The sequence below is a fragment of the Homo sapiens genome, chromosome 8, assembly GCF_000001405.40.
Source record: "Homo sapiens chromosome 8, GRCh38.p14 Primary Assembly".
Taxonomy (NCBI): Eukaryota; Metazoa; Chordata; class Mammalia; order Primates; family Hominidae; genus Homo; species Homo sapiens.
Genome location: NC_000008.11, coordinates 17,055,681 through 17,074,695, shown reverse-complemented (window position 1 = coordinate 17,074,695; position 19,015 = coordinate 17,055,681). Strand labels below are relative to the sequence as shown.

Sequence of the window (19,015 nt, the reverse complement as noted above, 5' to 3'; positions counted from 1 at the left end):
CCAGGGATGACAAACTTAAGTTTTAGACTAAAGTTAATTGTCTCTAGGGGTGGCAAGTTAAACACACACACACACACACACACACACACACACACACACACACACGTTTTAACATCATTTTAGTCTGATTCTCCAGCTAGGCATATTTCTATAGTATTTTTGTTGTTGCTGCAAATATTAAATCATTCTCTACATACTGTTTTATAATTTACCCTTTACATTTAATATATTATAGTGAGCATATTTTCCTGTCAAATATTCTTCATTTTTATTTTAATGGCTACACAGCAGTTGTCTATAGTAGCAGTTCTGAAAGGAAACTCTTCACATTCTTAAAAATATTATGGACCCAAAAGAGATATTGTCTATATGGGTTATATCTATCAATATTTAATTTATTTGAAAATAAAAACAAATTTTTAAAACACAATAAAACACAAACACACATTCCATTAGTTGGTAGAGCAATGGCATCATTACCAAACAGCCTCTAGAAAATTCCACTATACAGGCTGGGCACGGCAGCTCACACCTGTAATCCCAGCACTTTGGGAGGCCGAGGCGGGCGGATCACGAGGTCAGGAGATGGAGACCACGGTGAAACCCCCTCTCTACTAAAAATAAAAAATAAAAAAAAAAACCAAAAAGAAAAAGAAAACTCCACCATACACTCATGAGAGAATGACAGTGAATAAAACAAGTATCTTCTCAATATTATGATGAAAATAGTTTTGACTTCATGGACCTTTGAAAAGGTATTTGCACTTTAAATGACTGTCAGTTAATATTATTTTGCAACTTGCCCTTTTACTCAACCTTGTTTTCTAGTTCTACTCATGTTAATACACATAGCTATAATGTATTTATTCATTTTCACTCTGTAATTCTACATTTATCCTGGGTTTCTCTATTTCACAAATTTTTCATTCACCTGCCTGATGATTGACATATTGTTCCCAAATTTTTGCTATTACAATTGATGTTCAGGAAACACATATAGCAGCAGTCCCCAACCTTTTTGGCACCAGGGACTGGTTTCTTGGAAGACAATTTTTCCACAGACCAGGAGGGAGGAAGAGGAAATGTTCTGGGGATGATTCAAGTGCATTACATTTATTGTGCACTCTATTTCTATTATTATTACAATGTAACATATAATGAAATAATTATACATCTCATCATAATGTACAATCAGTGGGAGTCCTGAGCTTGTTTTCTTGCAACTAGATGGTCCTATCTGGGGGTGATGGGAGACAGTGACATATCATCAGGCATTAGATTCTCATAAGAAGCACACAACTTAGATCCCTCACATGCCAGTTCACAATAGGGTTTGGGCTCCTATGAGAATCTAATGCTGCCACTGATCTAACAGGAGGCAGAGCTCAGGCAGTAATGTGAGCAATGAGTGATGGAGAGTGGCTGTAAATACAGACGAAGCTTCACGGGAAGGGGGCGATCTGATATATAGGATTTCTGTGGCAAATCTGAAAACATTTCTCTAGTATGCATTTCTACAAGAGGGATTTCTCATATGCATTTTCAACATTATTAGGTATTGCCAAATTTCACTCAAAAGTAAATATACCCCAGCCTGGGTGACAGAGCAAAACCCTGTCTCTACTAAAAATGCAAAAATTAGCTGGGCATGGTGGTGTGTGCCTGTGGTCCCAGCTACTCAGGAGGCTGAGGTAGGGGGATCACTTGAGCCCAGGAGGCAGAAGATGGAGTGAGCCAAGATCGTGCCACTCACTGCACTCCAGCCTGGGTGACAGGGAGAGACTCTATCTCAAAAAAAATTAAAAAGTAAATACACCAGTTTATATTCTGACCTGGTTCCTTCTTGTTCTCCTTGCTAATTATGGGTATTGTCAGATTTCTGGAAGCTCACCATCTGGCGGGTGTCAAATAGTATCGTATCATTGGTTTAATTTGCACACCCTAAGTTACTAGTAAGGTTCACCTCCTTTACATATATTCAGTGGCCATTGTAGGCATATTTGTCTATTTTTTTCTTATTAAGCCATAATCTTTTTTACAAAGATAAAAAAAGGGGTTCTACGTGACTGCAAGACACTTACCCTCTTCTGTTGATATGTTGCATGCATATCCTCCCATCCATCATACATCTTTTAACATTGTTTACACTGTGTTTTGATGCTAAGCTTTCAAATATTTAGTTTAGTAAACATTGCCAATAATTTTGAGTTTTGCTTTGTGTCTTATCTAAAAAAAAAAAAACCTCTCATGCCTCTCATTTTTGCTTTTAATCTTAGAGAATTTTTGTCACAAATAAGAACTTAATCCATCTGAAATTAGTTTTTGTATATGGTAGTAAATCTGAGGCCTAATTTGCCCCCTCCATGGAAAAGTTATTATTCAAACATCTATGATTGAGAGGTCAATCTTTCTGCCACTGATTTACAGATCTACCTATATATACCTGGATCTGTTTCTGGATTCTATATTCTATTACCTTGATCTAGTTTTTAAAAATATCCTTGCAATGATGTAATACTACTTTATTTATTATAGCTCTATTTCTAATCTTGATATGTGATCAACCCCATTATTCTCATCTCAATGGTTTTTTTTCCCTCTTTCCTTTTCAGAATTGTTCTAAATATTTTGGGGCCCTTACTCATCCAGATTAATTTTAAAAGTTAATTTCGGATCAATTTGGTTGGGATTTTAATTGGAGTTACATTGAATTTATAGATAGATTTGGAGGATCATTATCATAAGGAAATGGCTTATTACCAGTATGAACATGATACAGTTCTCCATTTACTTGTATTTTTAAAAACATAATTTAATAATGTTTTGTACATCTTCTGTTAGGCATTGCTTTTAAGTACCTAATAGTTCTTGTTTCTATTATGAAATGCATTTTATTCAATACTAGTTTCTAATTGCTCTCGCTGGTGTGGAGCATCTTCTTAACTTTGGTTTATTGCTGTTATATCCAGTAGCAATCTTGCTAAACTTTTATTAAATTTAAACAAATCTAAAATTTATGTATTTTTACATTTTTCTTCCAATCACATTCTATTCTGTGCCTCTATTCTAATCCTTAGAGCCTCTTCTTTTTTTCATACTACATATTATGGTCTCAATTGTGCCCCTCTCCCCGATTCATATGTTGAAGTCCTAAGCCCCAGTACCTCAGAATCTGACTGTTTTGCAGAGAGGACCTTTCTTTAAAGAGGTAATTAGGTTATTATATAAGGTCATCAGGATGAGCCCTAATCCAATATGACTGACGTCCTTATAAGAAGAGATTAGGACACAGACATGCCCAGAGGAAAGACCATGTGAAGACAGAGGAAGAAGATTGCTACCTAAAAGCTAAGGGGAGAGGCCTCAGAAGAAACTAACCTGCTGACACCTGGATCTCAGACTTCAAGCCCCCAGAACCGTGAGAAAATAAATGTCTGGTGTTAAACCCACTCAATCTGTGATATTTTGTCATAGCAGCCCTAGTATACTATACTAGCCCAGACTTCCAGTAAAATGCTATGGAACAGTTGTGACAGCAGGCATATTTGCACTGTACAGTAGTTCCCCCTTATTTGAGGCTTAGCTTTCTACAGTTTCTGTGACCCTCAGTCAACTGCAGTCCAAAAACATTAAATAGAAAGTTCCAAAAATAAACAATTCCTAAGTTTTAAGTTGCGCACTGTTCTGTGTAGCATGATGAAATCTCACACTGTCCAACTCTGTCCTATCCAGGATGTGAATCATCCCTTTACCCAGTATATCCACGCTGTATATGCTACCCACCTGTTAGGCACTTAGTAGTTCTCTCGTCTACCAAACTGAAAAAACATAGTACATATAGGGTTCAGTACTTTCCAAATTTTCAGCATTCATTACCAGGGGTCTTAGAGCATATTACCCACTGATAAACGGGGACTAATATACCTAACTTTAAAGACAATGTCTCTCAAGTTTCACAAATGACCATGACATTTGCTGTAGGCTTTTGGAGGATTCCCTTTAACTAGTTAAGGACGTTCCCTAGATTTCTAATATTCTTTTTTTTAAAAAAAAAAAACATATCTATAAAAATATAAAAGGAATATATATGCAATTTAAAGTTAAGAAATAGTTAACTTAAAAAATAGAAAATTAGCAGTACTTTAAAGCCTCTTTGAGCCCATCACTGATGATATTCCCTGCTATCATCCTGAAGATGAATACTTTCTTGAATTTAATGTTAATTATTCCTTTGTTTTCCCACGTATGAATGTATCCTAAATAATATGATTTCACTTTCTCAGTTTTGGACTTTATACAAATAGAATTATACTTTGTATTTTTGAACTGCTTATTTTCTTTACCATCATGTTTCTGAGACTTATTTAGTTAAAGCACTGTTAAAATTCATTTGTTTTCACTATTGTGTAGTATACTATATGAATATATCAACATTTATTTATGGTATAGTATTGATATATTAAAGTTTTGGGGCCATCATATATAATCTATAAACATTCTTGTGAACCTCTCCTGCATATAAGCAAGAATTTCCCTAGGTATATACACTGGTATATGCTAGATACCAGTGTATTTAGTAGAAATTACTAGATCACAGAGTCTATTCAAGTTCAACTTTACAAGGTACATGCGCATGCACTACTGCAGAATTTAAATGCAGGCATGTATTTACTAGGTATAGGGTAGGCATATCGCCAATTTTAGTAGATAATGCCAAATTGTTTTCCAAAGTGAGTATACCAACACATGAGATTTACCAGTAATCTACATTTTCACCAGCCCTTAGAAACGTCCACCTTTTTATTTTCTGACAATCTGGAGGATAAAAAAAGGAACTCTGATGTGATTTGATTTGCCAAAAAATCATAAAATATATAAAAATACATAATATATTTTATGAAATATATTTTAATTATATATGTATATATGCATGCACATATAAAATTTGTGTATATCTACCAAGAGCTTTAACTCACCTGTTTGGAAAGTGACTTCCAAGTTTTGGCAACTAAAATAAACAAATGTAAGATAATTAGATAATAAATACTTCATGGAATATATATCCATATTTGCTAACCATCTACAACCATAACTCATAACCAAACTTTTATGTCCAAAAGGCAAAGTTTTCTTTTAACCTCAAAATTTGGATCTGTGATATGATCTTATATATGTTATCTATTTGCTTCATATATACTATGCACTGTTCATAGTAAGTATCAGTGATACAGGAAACATTTCTCCACAGCCGTATCATCTTAATTTGGGCTTTCTGGACTAATAAAGTAAGCTAACTTTCTCCATGTTAAACATCTTGTGGGCTTAAAAGCACAAATAATGATACTTATAAAATATTCAAACTAGAATATAAAATAACATTAACATAGATAAACTATAATTTTAAGGTATTACTTGTGATCTTTGCTATACTAGTGTTCCATGACGTAATTCACAGGTCAGGTCTCTCTAGGATGAAGAAGGATTGGGGAAAGAAAAAAAGAAAGGAAAGGGAGGCTAGGCAAAGTGATGGGGAAACTTGTCCTGTTTCATTACTCTTCCCTACAACTATTCAAGAAGCATCACTGGAGTAAGAGTGTTACAGCTGAATAAAATGTCAGGGATCACTTTCTTTTTGTGATTCCTCCTCACACCCCCAAAGATCTCAAACACTGTAAAACTTAAAATGTTGGGACAAATGTATAGTCAGTATTGCTATTTCCTTTGCTCACATTTGAACACTGTAAATATTTAATGCCTGCCTAAGAATTAGCACCAGGTTTACATTTGATTAAGCCCTGTAATACAGCTGTATTAGGAAACTGGTTAATATTAATTATTTCAGCTACATTACAATAATGCCAACCAACATCTTCTTCTACCTGGCAATGGGGCTATTTCTGTATAATTAACAATATATCAAATTCAAAATTACAAAAAAAGCAATTTTTGCTGTGTAGTTTTTTCTTTATTAGGCAACAAAACAACTCAATTTAAAATCAAAAGAGAAGAAATATGTTTCTAAGGATAGATTTCTTCTTTATGTAGCAACAACATCCTTCATCTATCCAAGATAGTTGATACAAATGTGTAATCAAGTGATTCAAATCACAGGTCTACAAATTAGAATTTAGCATGTAAACTTAACTATGACACTGGTGCAAAGACACTTCCCTTTTAACAATGAACAGAACAATACAAATAGTATTTATTATTCTGTTGCTCTTAAAATATAGCAGTAAGGAAAGAAGAAAAATAAATGGTAGAAAAGTACATGCACGTGCTCTTATGCAATGCTCAGAAGGTATTTATCGGAAGAGGAAGTTAGAGGTACTCTTGAGTTTTGCAGGGTTTATGAGATTTCCATGGTAAATTATTCACAAAAGACATATTCATTCTGTCGGAAATGTCACCATGTTCAATACTATTATCTTTTTAAATAAAGACTAAAGAGCCATTAAGATTGCTCTTCAAAGGATTTTCTGAATTCCTTATTTCATATGAAGTTACTGCACATATAAATATAACTTAGGTGAAGAAGGACTTCAATTCTAGTGGAAATATTATTTCTTAAGCTGTAGGTTGATGTTCATTATATTTTTAATACGTTTTTGTATGTCTGAAAAATTTAATATATTTTTAAAAATCTAAATTAAAATAATTCTTGATGCTATGTTGGAAAATAATTACTGATTTTAGTTCTAGAAAAGAAAGTCACCATTTAGGTTCTATTTAAGTATGCAAAATAAGATTATAATGCAAAATCATAATCAACAGATATCTCAACATTTATTTGATCTATAATTTTTAAGCAAATATTTACACAGCATACCATTTTTTCCCTGTTGAATGTCATCATAAAATGATATCAAAAACTTTCAAAAATAATGGCTATGATTTTAAACAGCGAAAAAAATGGTGTGCCGTGTAAATATTTGCTTAAAAATTATCACAGCTATGGGCTGGGCATGGTGGCTTACGCCTGTAATTGCACCCCTTTGGAGGCCGAGGCAGGAGGATCACCTGAGGTCAGGAGTTTGAGACCAGCCTGGCCAATATGGTTAAACCATGGTGAAACTCCAGCTCTGCAAAAATACAAAAATTAGCTGGGCATGACAGCAGCTGCCCGTAATCCCAGCTATTCAGGAGGCTGAGGCAGGAGAATCACTTGAACCCAGGAAGCGGAGGTTGCAGTGAGCTGAGATCACCCCATTGCGGTCCAGCCTAGTTGACAGAGCGAGTCTCCTCTTGGGGAAAAAAAAAAAAAATCATGGCTATGAATTCTGATGACGATGATGATGACATACCAATATTAAATGTTTACTGTGTGCCAGGTACTATACTAACCATAATTCATTCGATCTTCAAGAAAAACTTCATGAGGCTGTTATTTTTATAAATGAGGAAACAGAAGATTAAATAACCAAGTTTTCAAAGCCAGTAAATGCCAAGGTTTAAACACAAGTCAAATTTCATTACGCTACAGTTTTAACATATCTGATTTAATACTCAGTACATGAAACATTGTTCTATTCTTTTCCTTTTCTAAAACCCCAACTTTCAAAACAGGATTTATGAATATCTTGATCTTTTGTGATTGTTCCTAATTATGTTTGAAAAGTGCTGGTTAGAAATTAACTGAAGTTGTGGTTGTAAAATATCCTGTATAACTTTTCTATAATAGAAACCAGTTTTTTACTCTTAAGTTATGGTTTTAAAATATCTATGAGAAGAATCACCACAAAAGTTATTTCCAAAAAGCAAAATCGAACAGTGTGCTTCCAGTGAATGTATTCTGAAGAAAAAAATTCTAGAAAATAATGAAGTAAAATTTTTCAAAATATGAAACTGTGGCCAGGCACAGTAGCTCACGCCTGTAATCCCAGCACTTTGGGAGGCTGAGGCAGGTGGACTGCTCGAGCCCAGGAGTTCAAGCCAAGCCTGGGAAACATAGCAAAACCCTCTCTCTACAAAAAAATTTAAAAAATTAGCTGGTGGCATGGTGGCATGTGCCTGTAGTCCCAGCTACTTGGGAGGCTGAGGTGGGAGGATCACTTGAGCCTCGGAGGTTGAGGTTGTAGTGAGTAGTGATCACGTCACTGAACTCCAGCCCGGGGGACAGGGCAAGACCCTGCCTCAAAAAAAAAAAAAAAAATCTATATATATATATATATATATATAGATTATTAACAATCACTTAAAGAATAGCTTTCAAATATGTTTGAAAAAATTATAGAATTTGATATAAAATACCATTTAGCATCTAACAAATTCCTTCCTTCAAGAAATATTTATTGTGTACCTATCATGTGCCAGGTAACCATATTCTACCTTGGAGATGGTTCTGTATCTTACGTCGTCTTATAATATCGTAAGTTTCCTGAGTGCACAGACTTTGTATCCCCCTTAGCACACAGAAAAGAACCTTAATACAGAAGCAGACATATAAATATTCCATACATTTTTATTTAATTGATTTGGTACAACATGGTCTCTATATTTATTAGCAAATTAGTATTAAATCTATACTAACTCACTAATAAAGAATCTACATTGTACCAAATGGATTAAATAAAAAGGATATAACACTTATCACAGCCTTAAAATTCGTAAATAAAAAAAAAAAGAACTCTACTTAATTTTTCACCTTTCCCATCACTATATGGCCCTACATATTCCCAAAGTGGCTACTATGACTATACCATATACTGTCTTGATTTCATGTTTTTGCTTATGTAGTTTACATTTCTTTAAACGTTACTCTCATAGTTTCTTGTTAAAATCTTTTTTTTAATTTAAAATCTTGCATAATCAAAAGTGTCTACTTCAAATTCCATTACAGCTACCTTTCAGTTCCTTTCTCTTTTGCAATCAAATATTGTAAGAGAGTCCTTTACACTCATCGTCTTCATTTCTTCATCTGCTACTCACTCCTGCAATTGCCCTAATGACTCCACTGAAACATCATTTTAAAAAACCATCAATAACCTTCATGTTTTTAAATCTAGTGGACATTTTCCTGTTCTTATCTAACTTGAATTCTCAGTAACACTGCACTCAATTGGCAATTCTGGCTATTTTACTCGGCTTCCATGACTACATACCCTTATGATTTTCTTCCTATGTCTCTGGCCACTCCTATGTCCCCTTTTCTCATCCTTTCAAAGCCTTTTGTCCATTCATCTTTTAAAGAGCAGAAATTCCTCAAGGCCTAGTCTTTGGTTATCTATATTCTCATCCTATACAGCTTCCCTAGGCAATTTCATTCATACACATTCTATGAATTAGCAATAATGCAAAGATGAATCCTAAATATATACCTGAATCTCTTCCTTGATATCCAGTGGAAATAATCCAAAGAATCAAAAATTCATTAAAAGTTACTATGTCAAGTAGCCAATTTGTCAAATTATTGAGGATTTATTTTAAGGTTCATTTTTGCCATATTGCTGTCTCTGGAGGAAAAAATGGCTATAATTGTTCTAGTCTAAGTTAAAGTATTTGTGTGACAGTTTAAAGTAGATATGGGTCGAACAAATGATTATTTGTTATACTGATTTTTAGTGAGTGATCTTTCAGTGAAGTGAAATGAATTATTTTTTAAAAAAATACACTGTATCCTTTTATATATCCAAGGTATCTCAAATAGACATGACCAAAATTGAAATTGTGATTTTTCTCCTCAAACCTGGTCCCTAGTGCCATCCATCCAGGTAAGCCAGCCAGAAATCCTCGGTTCTCATTACTCTTTTACCACCATCTATAGAGACTTTTGAAGCTGCAACTACCACCAGCCAATTGTGATACAGTATCAAAGGAGAGTACCTATAATAATCTAAAAAGGCAATTAAAATACTCCTTTTTTTACTGTCCATGTCTGTGAGGTAGATTTTCTTCATATATTTCATGGAAAACAACATATTATAACAGATCAAATAAAAAAGCACACATGAGAATACAGCTGTCTTCTGTTAAGTTAGATATTAAGAGATTTGCAAGAATGTACATACTTCCAAAAATTTTGAGAACCATTATTCTAACATATGAAAAGGTGAGAGACAATGAAACTATTAATATATTTACACTGCAGGAGCTATGACAAACGCAGAAGAGATACAGGTAGAATTCTTGCCCAGGGCTAACCTCAAAGCCAGTCCTCTGAACTACTCTGTTCAGGTTTGATATAAGAATGAAGAGGCAGAATATGAGTCTTTTATAAAGAGTATCAAAAGTAAGATGGTGTTAAGCTGAGAAAGATGGAGCAATTGAAAGTTTCTGAAAAGAGAAGAGATGTGAGTAAGAGTTTGTAAGAAATATCAGTCTGTAACACTGAATAGCACAATATCATGTGAAATACCACATTACTCAGTTCTTCTAAAAAACTTATACTGCTCCATCCATTCACAAGCTAGAGATAAAAAAATTATACAATTATTAAGATAATTTCAAAAGTGTACTTACCTTTGGGCTCATCTGTTGTAACAGCCAAAATAAAATCATACGGAGTCATGAATAACTGCCCTTCACATTCTATAGAAGCAAATAAACGAAATCGCCTCTCCCGAGATGTGGCATAAAGGTCTAAGTCTTCAATGTCTGTTCTGCCAATAGCAACCTAAAGTTAAGAAAGCAAATACATTTGGATGATGTGAAGTAATACCTCCCTCTAGAAGATACTTTTAATTATGTTGAAAGTGAATAAACAGAGTAAATGAGGAAGTGTGAAAATATCGTCTTCTGAAAAACGTTAATCACTTTATAAATAAATTATTCACATAAATAAAATAAATTAATATTCGAAAGATTCTACAAAAAATATCATTAAGAGCTTAAGGATTTTAAACTGGCACTTTGGAGAAGTGATTTGTGATTTTTTTTTGGTTTATTTCTTAAGCTTCAGTCTTAAAGAACATTAAATTATGGAGCCAGTGGTACTTTTAGAAGGAACACCAGCGCTTGCTGAATGCCTACTATGTACTCTTATAGGCTAATGTATTTAATTACAAGTCTATTCACTAACATCCACTAATTTTCTAAAAGAATAAAGTAAAATCCCAATAGGCTACTTATAACTACCACTAAGGAAACCATTAGTGGTAATATTTAGATTAGAAGTGAAATTGCTAGTTCCAGATCACTACAGTATAGTGGCCATCATTGGTCTGAATTTTAGGGGTCTCTTTTCCTTCAAGACCTTTCCTTGTAGATAATATTCCATTGTTATTTTCTCTCTGAAGTAACTAGAGCAATTTTTTTTAATAAAAGGATTTATTTTCCTGATTACAAGAGAAATGCAAAGCTCTTACATGTAATTTAGAAGACAGAATTGTAAAAAATTTGTTAAGTATAATTTTGTTTTCTTTTTGGCAAAAAAGTGGGATTTTACCATACATGCTTCAATAACCTGATCTTTTTCACTTATCAATTATCAGGGCCATTTTTCTATGTCACTAAATATTCTAGTAGTTACCGTATAAAATTAGAAGACAGAATCTAAAAATTTATAGATAGAATTGTTTTTGCTTTCTTTTGGCAAAGAAAATGGGATTATACCATATATATCATTCAGTAATCTGACCTTTTTACTTACTAAAACTTCGGGGCCATTTTCCTGTGTCACTATTCCTGTAGAAGACCATTTTTGTTAACTGTATAATATTCCATAGAAAATGTTTATAGTATAACATAAACAATTCTACTTGGTTATTCATGTTGACTTCTAATCTTTTGCTATTACAAAACAATGGTATAATGACCAACCTTGAAAATATTCAGAAATATCCATAACAGTTCTTCAGGATAAGTTCTTTTTTTTTTTTTTAGACAGAGTCTCACTCTGTCACCCAGGCTGGAGTACAGTGGCATGATCTCAGCTCACTGCAACCTCCACCTCCCAGGTTCAAGCGACTCTCCTGCCTAGCCTCCCTTAATCCTTAGGAGTGAAACTGATTAGTCAAAGAAGACTTTTTAGTCAAACTGTCTTCATGGAGTTTATAGCAATTTACATGATTATCAGTAACACACAAATTATACTTTCACGTATTTTATAAAATGATTTCATATAAGAAAAAACTGTTTAAATATTTAGTACCTTGAGAAGCCATAACAAAAACAACCCAAAGAAACTTTTGGCAAGAATACTACTTTATTTCTAAGTTACATCTTATTAAACGAAAAGCCAGGCAAATGATTAATCTTTTCCATCATTCTGAAGACTAAGACTTCTCAAAACATTACAGGAGTAGTCAAATAAAAACTGAAAAAAAGTTTCGCTCCCCACTTCTAACGGCATAAGAAATGGAAGTTGTGGTGTCTGTCTTTAAGGAATGAATATCAATCTATATGGAAAGAGAGAATGCTGGCTGGAGAGACAAAAGGCACAAACAGAGAAACGGAATGGGTTAAATGCAAGCAAATAGAAGAAAGGTGCCATAGGCTGGGCTTAAAAAGAAGGCTTCAGGAAAAATGATAAATTTTAATGTCAAGAAAAGATATGAACATGTGGAGTTTCTACAGCATATTTGAAAGATGGCCATAATCTTCCTGGGCAGAGGATTCATATTCATGGAGAAGTGTAGTAAAAGGATGGTGAGCTAATGATTTCTGAATGCCAGACTAAAGCCCCGGAGTTTAATTTAACAGTAAACAAATGGTCTTAGGAGATTCTTAAGTGGAGCAATGACTCAAAGAAAATGGTGCTTTAGAAACATAAAGCAACCTGGTACCAAAGACAAGTTGGCTCAGCAGTATATTGATAACAGTTGCTCAGGTGTCCACAGGTATTGGAAAATTGTTTTGGCCCTGCCGTGGGTGAGACATGAGATACTGAACAGCTCACTGGTAAAAACGAGCAATCATCTCCCTGAATGGTCCTCGGGGATCAGACTACCATCTTAGTCCCCTTGTATATACATATCTCAGGGTTTCTTCTTCCTCTCAAGGTGGGAAACCAATCTCATCTGTGACTAGAGTTTACTTTTCTACTTTTTTCTTGCTAGGCCATTTCCCTGGGCCTAGGTGACATCAATCAACCATGATTTATCACCAGTGAATTTCATGGAGGACCACTCAGCCTGGAGCTCCCACTGTTTCTGCAGCATGATCTGAATGAAGCATGCCTCGATCTACCATTCTGCACCCCAAGTTTCTGCCTATAACATCTATATTTGATCTGTGGCTTCTGTCTCTACCTGGTGCTACTACTGCTCCTGACATGCCTGTTTTCTCACCAAACTTTCTTTCCTTAAGCATAGTCTAACAATCCCCCAGCTTACCAAACCCTGTTACCTCCTGAGATGCCTGTTTTCTCATCTCTTGCCACTACCGCTCCTGAGATGCCTGTTTTTTCATCAAACTTTCTTTCCTTAAGCATAGTCTATCAATCCCCCAGCTTACCAAACCCACCTGACCACTGCAGCTGGGAATGTGATCCACCTTCTTTGAGCTAATGCTGACAATCCCTCCTCCTTTACCTCTACCAACAATCAACTAACAAAGCCTGCAGTCCTCTCTCTAATTTCACACATCAAAACCACTGCCACCACCTTTGTTCAGGGACTCATTACTACTTTCCTACAGTTTTATAGTAATGCCCTGTGATTGTTACCTCTAATCCATCCCATGTTGAAGTGAGAGAAAACATGCAGAACTACAGAAAAGTTTGCATTCTTTAACCACCTAAGTAAGGGTATGAAAAGAAATCTTACCAAGCAGAGTTGAAGGTTTTCATTAAAACTCCACTTTACGAATCCACTCCTGTTGGCTTAGCAATAATATTAAGTGGGGCTTTTGACAATGGTATTAGGTGCGGGCCCACATTTCTATTTAGCACCACTTTAAAAGAAGGTCAGTAAGGAGTTTGGAAAGGGTTTGTGCCCCAGGCAAAAAAAAAAAAAAATTATATCCTAAAAAAAAGAATATGTATAAAAGAGATAACCAGAGGCCTGGTGCTTAAAAGGGCTTCCCAGTACCACCAACTGGTTGCTTCCTCCATTGTCTCTGCTCAATTTAGTATAATAAAGCACACAGTCTACTAAAACACACCAATACCACTCAGATGAAAAATGGACTGGTTAAATGTAAGTAATGGCCAGGCGTAGTGGCTCATGCCCGTAATCCCAGCACTATGGGAGGCCGAGGCAGGCGGATCACTTGAGGTCAGGAGTTCGAGACCAGCCTGGCCAACATGGTGAAACCCTGTCTCTACTAAAAATACAAAAATTGGCCGGGTGTGGTGGTGCACGCATGCCTGTAATCCCAGCTACTTGGGAGGCTGAGGCAGGAGAATCACTTGAAATCACTCGTAACCCGGGAGGCAGAGGCTGCAGTACACCAAAATCACACCACTGCACTCCAGCCTAATCGACAGCACGAGACTCTGTCTCAAAGAAAAAAAAAAAAAAGTAAACAGTTTCCCCATGATAACCCAGTAAATTGGTCTGATCCCAGAATAGTCTACTTATTATCAACTAGGAGAACTCAGCTCATCTGGATGGAGAATGAGACAGGATGGAGAGTGAAACAGAAACTCAATACTTGGGTTGGTTTTTAAGTTCTCTGTTCTCTTCTACAAACTTATTTGTCTCTTTCTACTCAAATACCATACTGTTTTAATGACTATATCTTTTGAATATGTTTTGACATTAAAACAACACTGTACCTGTCAATCTGTTTAAAAATATATGTGATGACAGGTAATTTTCTATTCAAGGTAAACTTTGAAATCAGTGTATCAAATTCTGTTGTAAAAATCCTACTAGTATTTTGTTTGAGATGACATTAAATTTTGGGAGAATTGATCGTCTCACAATATTGATTTTTCCAACCTAGGAACATAGATGTCTATTTAATCAAGTCTTCAACTATGTCTTTTAATAAAGTTTTGTAGTTTTCTTCATATAAATTTTAAATTTTTTTTGGTAGATTCATTCCTAAGCATTTCATAATTTCTGTGTAATTTGAATTGAGAATGGGATCTTTTATTCTATTACACTTTCAGTTGGTTACTTTTTGTTTGGGAAGGCTATTAACTTTAGTGTATTTGCTTCATATCCAACTATCTTATTAAATTCCTTCACTAAACTTTTTTCTCAGATTTGCTAAGTAGGTAATCACAAATTCTTTCAAAATGGTGACAGTTGTAGCTTCTCCTTTTCAGCATTTATATCTCATTTTCGTTGCCTTATTGCTAGAGTGGTAGGTCTATAAAAATGATGTTGAATATTATCAGTAATATTAAGCACTCTTGACTTTTTCTACGTTTTGAAGAGAATGCTTCTAATGAATTGCCAATAAAAGCAATGGCTGCTGTTAGTTTTGATAATTATCTTCTACCTTTTATCAGGAATTGGTATTCACCTGGTCTACTTTGTTCTCTGAAAATGAGTTTAGAGTTAGAATGGTCCTTAGAGATCATTTGGTCCTCTTGTTTCTTCACGTTTTCATCAGAATAGAAACGTAAATACTAGTCCCCAAACAAATATTTAAAATGTGTTGGGTGAGTAGCAGCATAAATAGGAATCCCCAAACAAAAACTCAAACTATATTGGATGAAACTCTATTATTTGCATTCTTTTAAGCTTATATAGTTTCCAAGATGAATATTTAATGTCAACAAATGACAAATGTAAATTCACTGACTCATTCAACAGGTACTTGCTGTGTGCCTATTACATACAAATGAAATATTATAAAATAATTAGTCAATTGGAAGATTACCAACATTAACTAAAACTGTTTTAGGACAAAACAAATAAACTTGGTTTAATCATGTTCTGCCTACATACACCTAACTACTTTCAAACACTTCAAGAATCCATATGCTTATTTCTCTGGAGTTTATCAACAGACAGTTTACTTAGAGAATGATCTAATGGCATAAGATGAATAATTTGTCGTTTGTTACTATGATACAGTTCTGACCAAGCTACACCTCAGAGTGCACAGGAGATTGGCTTGGAGCAGTCCATGAAGTTCTGCTGAGTATACTCGATCTACTGGAAACTCTGAGAAAGAGGCGGCAGCTGGCCAGCAGACCATCAAAGTGTCAAAAGGAACTCAGACCTTTCAGAGATTGAGCTTTGCTTCTGAACTTTCCAAAGTTTAAAAAAACCCCAAAGTCTCTGAAGTTTTAACATCACAATTATAAACATTCAAGAAAAAAAAAACATCAATAATAAAGGCGGAACATGACATTAAACCAGTTTACTAAACCTCTTGTGAGTCTTGCTTGTTTACAAATGACAATGATCTTGTATCACGTTCATGTTCTGGACCTTTTAAAAAACAAATATGGCCATTTCACTGGAGCACAATGAATCTGTGGTTCTGTGATTAGGTGTATATCCTTATATTACTAGGAATAGGTTTCACTGGCTGAGCTACTTCATTTTAAATACCTTTTTTGCTTACCTAGATCCAATATATCTTTTAAAGGTTAATTTCCAATTTAAAAATCCTACTAAAATCAACCAAAACATCTTTCATTACTATGTATTATTTCAGTAAATGGTACTTTTGGCATCACAAATTGCCAATGCAGTAAAAACTTGTCGCTAAGTGTAATATGTCAAAAGTCAATAGGGTACTTTTGGAGGCCGAGGCGGGTGGATCACCTGCGGTCAGGAGTTCGAGACCAGCCTGGCCAACATGGTGAAACCCCATCTCTGCTAAAAATACAGAAAAATTAGCCAGGTGTGGTGGCGAGTGCCTGTAATCTCAGCTACTTGGGGAGCTGAGGCAGGAGAATCACTTGAACCTGAGACGTAGAGGCTGCAGTGATCTGAGAACACACCATTGCACTCCAGCCTGGGCAACAAAAGTGAAACTCCGTCTCAACAACAACAACAACAACAACAACAACAAGAACAACAACAAAAAACGAAAAAAAGGTCAACAGGGAAAGCTAACCTTAAAGCCAAGAAAACCTGAATTATATTCATTCATGTGTGAAACCATAAATTGCTAAACTGAAAATCATTATCATCAATTCAGTGTTACATACTTTAAAATATGCCTTTCAAAAGTGGTAATGTAGGAGGAGATCATTTGCAAATTGGTAGGGAAGAGACTGAGAGGAGTTATAGAATAAAGCAATTATATAAGAAAAATTCTTAATTTCTACAGATTATAACTTATATTAATTGTAACAATAATTATAAATTATAGCTATTATCAATGTTAAAAATTTGCTCTAATTAAAAATTCTTAGAGATTAAATATAATTAATACTGTTTGAACCTTGAATTATTGTTTTCATATAAGTTTTGGAACCAATCCTGTTCCAGGTTGGAGGTAACCACATACTCTCAGGCCAGAGATCAGGGTGTCGCCTGTTATGTTCTGGGAACAAGAACTGAGCTCCTGATTTGCTCCCTATCCTTAGAACCAACCCATCCCTGATTTCCCAATGTCTGTACCTGGGTTCCTGTCAACCTGTGCCTGAGACATCTTCCTCCTGCTCCACAGGTTCCCTCTGGAACTGCAGTGCATGCTTACCTACCCACCCCAGTGCTTGGTGTTAGGCTGCTACTTACCAGATCTCCTTAATGCTTCTTTCTAAACTCTGTCTGTTTAAAGCTCTGCTAGTTATCAACACATTCAATGGTTATTTACTGACAGAACTTCATAAAATCAACTAAGCTAATACTAACCAAACTCTTAGCTTAACCTGTTGACAGAAACAAGAATGAGTCTAATTTCCATCTGAGCTTAGGATAAACTCTGGAAACCGTAATGGTCTCTGCCATGGCCAGCTCCGGGAATATTTTAGATCTACTTCAGTTCCCTGCTTAACTTCGCAATTTCTCTGGCGATGACTCCAATACTTTTCCAGCTATTGCCAAGGAGATGAATCCACGATGTTCCATATCAAATGGAATATGTGATTCTCACGAAGGCCACCTTCCAGAAAACTTCTGCTGCCACACCCTCTCTACTGTATAAGCTACTGACTGCTCCACATCGATTCCTAATTAATCACATCCCTTGTGATAGCATACCTTAGACTCTGACCACACAGCTTCCCTGTGAGCCAACACAGTATCTGGATAAATCCTAGTGATTTCCTTTATATATCCCTATTACATCACTTGTACTCCTTTCCTCCAGTCACACCAGGTTGCAATTATCTGTTTACGTATTTGTCTCTTCCATTCAATCATGAATTCCTTGAGCCATAAGTTCTTGCAAGAAAAAGAAAAACATAAATATCACTTGGAAGAGGTTCAAATGAGTAAGACTGCAGGAGAGCACTACACGGAGGACTGCAGGAGCAGGCAGCAAATGGAGGGAACAAGAAGCCAGACAGGAAAGGTATGGGAGATGCAGCATATGATTCATTTGGCACAATCCTTAACCAACTTCAAGACCCAGACTATGAACCTCAGCCAGGAATAGAGGAGATTACAAAGAGGTTCAAGCAGCAGGCAAATTGACTGAAGCCCACTATTCAAAGAAGAGTAAGTAGATAAGAGGAGCCTCCATTCAGGAAGAAGAAATGTAGTCCCTGGGGAATTGACATAAGGTCACTGGGATCCTTTAAGTGACCTTCTAAGATAGGAATCTGAAACAGGGGATTCGGATAGAAGACTGGGGCTAAATCACAGGGATCAATCAGTTACATTAATAATGTCAAGCAGCCAATTAGCTATTAATCTAAAGCTCCTTATATTCTGTGGGTCTTAGTGTGTGTGGTGAGGTTGAACGTACAGGCAGGCAGTTAGGTGAACTTTCATACTGGGAGGACTTAAGAGACATGTCTAGCTGACAGTTAATTCACCTTTATCCAAAAACGATCATCTCCCTTCTCAATGATCAAGACCTTCACCAATTAATCCCTTCTCTACTGTATTAGACAGGGTAGGCTAACTTCCTCAAATGTAATGGCTCCAACACAACACAAGTGTGTGTCTTTCTTTCTCACATAAGAGCCCCAAGAGAACGTACTAGGACAGGGGCTGGGAGTGGGATCAAGGAGCTCTGCTTTATATAGTCATTCAGAGACCCAGGCAGATGATGA

At 35.5% G+C, this 19,015-nt stretch overlaps 1 protein-coding gene across 33 annotated transcripts in view, besides 1 other annotated feature; it reads right to left on the bottom strand.

Moving 5' to 3' along the window:
- MICU3 (mitochondrial calcium uptake family member 3) overlaps positions 1-19,015 on the bottom strand; it is a 111,403-nt gene that overhangs the window by 63,945 nt on the left and 28,443 nt on the right. For 29 of the 33 annotated variants that reach the window (XR_007060729.1, XR_001745514.2, XR_001745515.3 and 26 more), the window contains exons 2-3: positions 10,459-10,612; positions 4,977-5,008 (exon numbers count right to left, since the gene is read on the bottom strand). The exons of 1 other annotated variant lie outside the window; for it this stretch is intronic. Coding sequence is in view for 23 of the 32 variants with exons in the window: in NM_181723.3 (NP_859074.1) it covers positions 4,977-5,008; positions 10,459-10,612 (186 nt within the window). In the remaining 9 variants the exon portion in view is untranslated. The remainder of the gene's footprint in view (positions 1-4,976; positions 5,009-10,458; positions 10,613-19,015) is intronic. 3 more of the 33 variants (NR_182123.1, NM_001413221.1, NM_001413226.1) reach the window with 1 other exon arrangement.
- Positions 13,249-13,750: an enhancer, noted in NCBI's record as "NANOG hESC enhancer chr8:16918455-16918956 (GRCh37/hg19 assembly coordinates)". NCBI's record gives its function as "activates a minimal SCP1, AML or CMV promoter by ChIP-STARR-seq in primed H9 embryonic stem cells {active_cell/tissue: H9 hESC(primed)}" and the evidence as "EXISTENCE:reporter gene assay evidence [ECO:0000049][PMID:30033119]".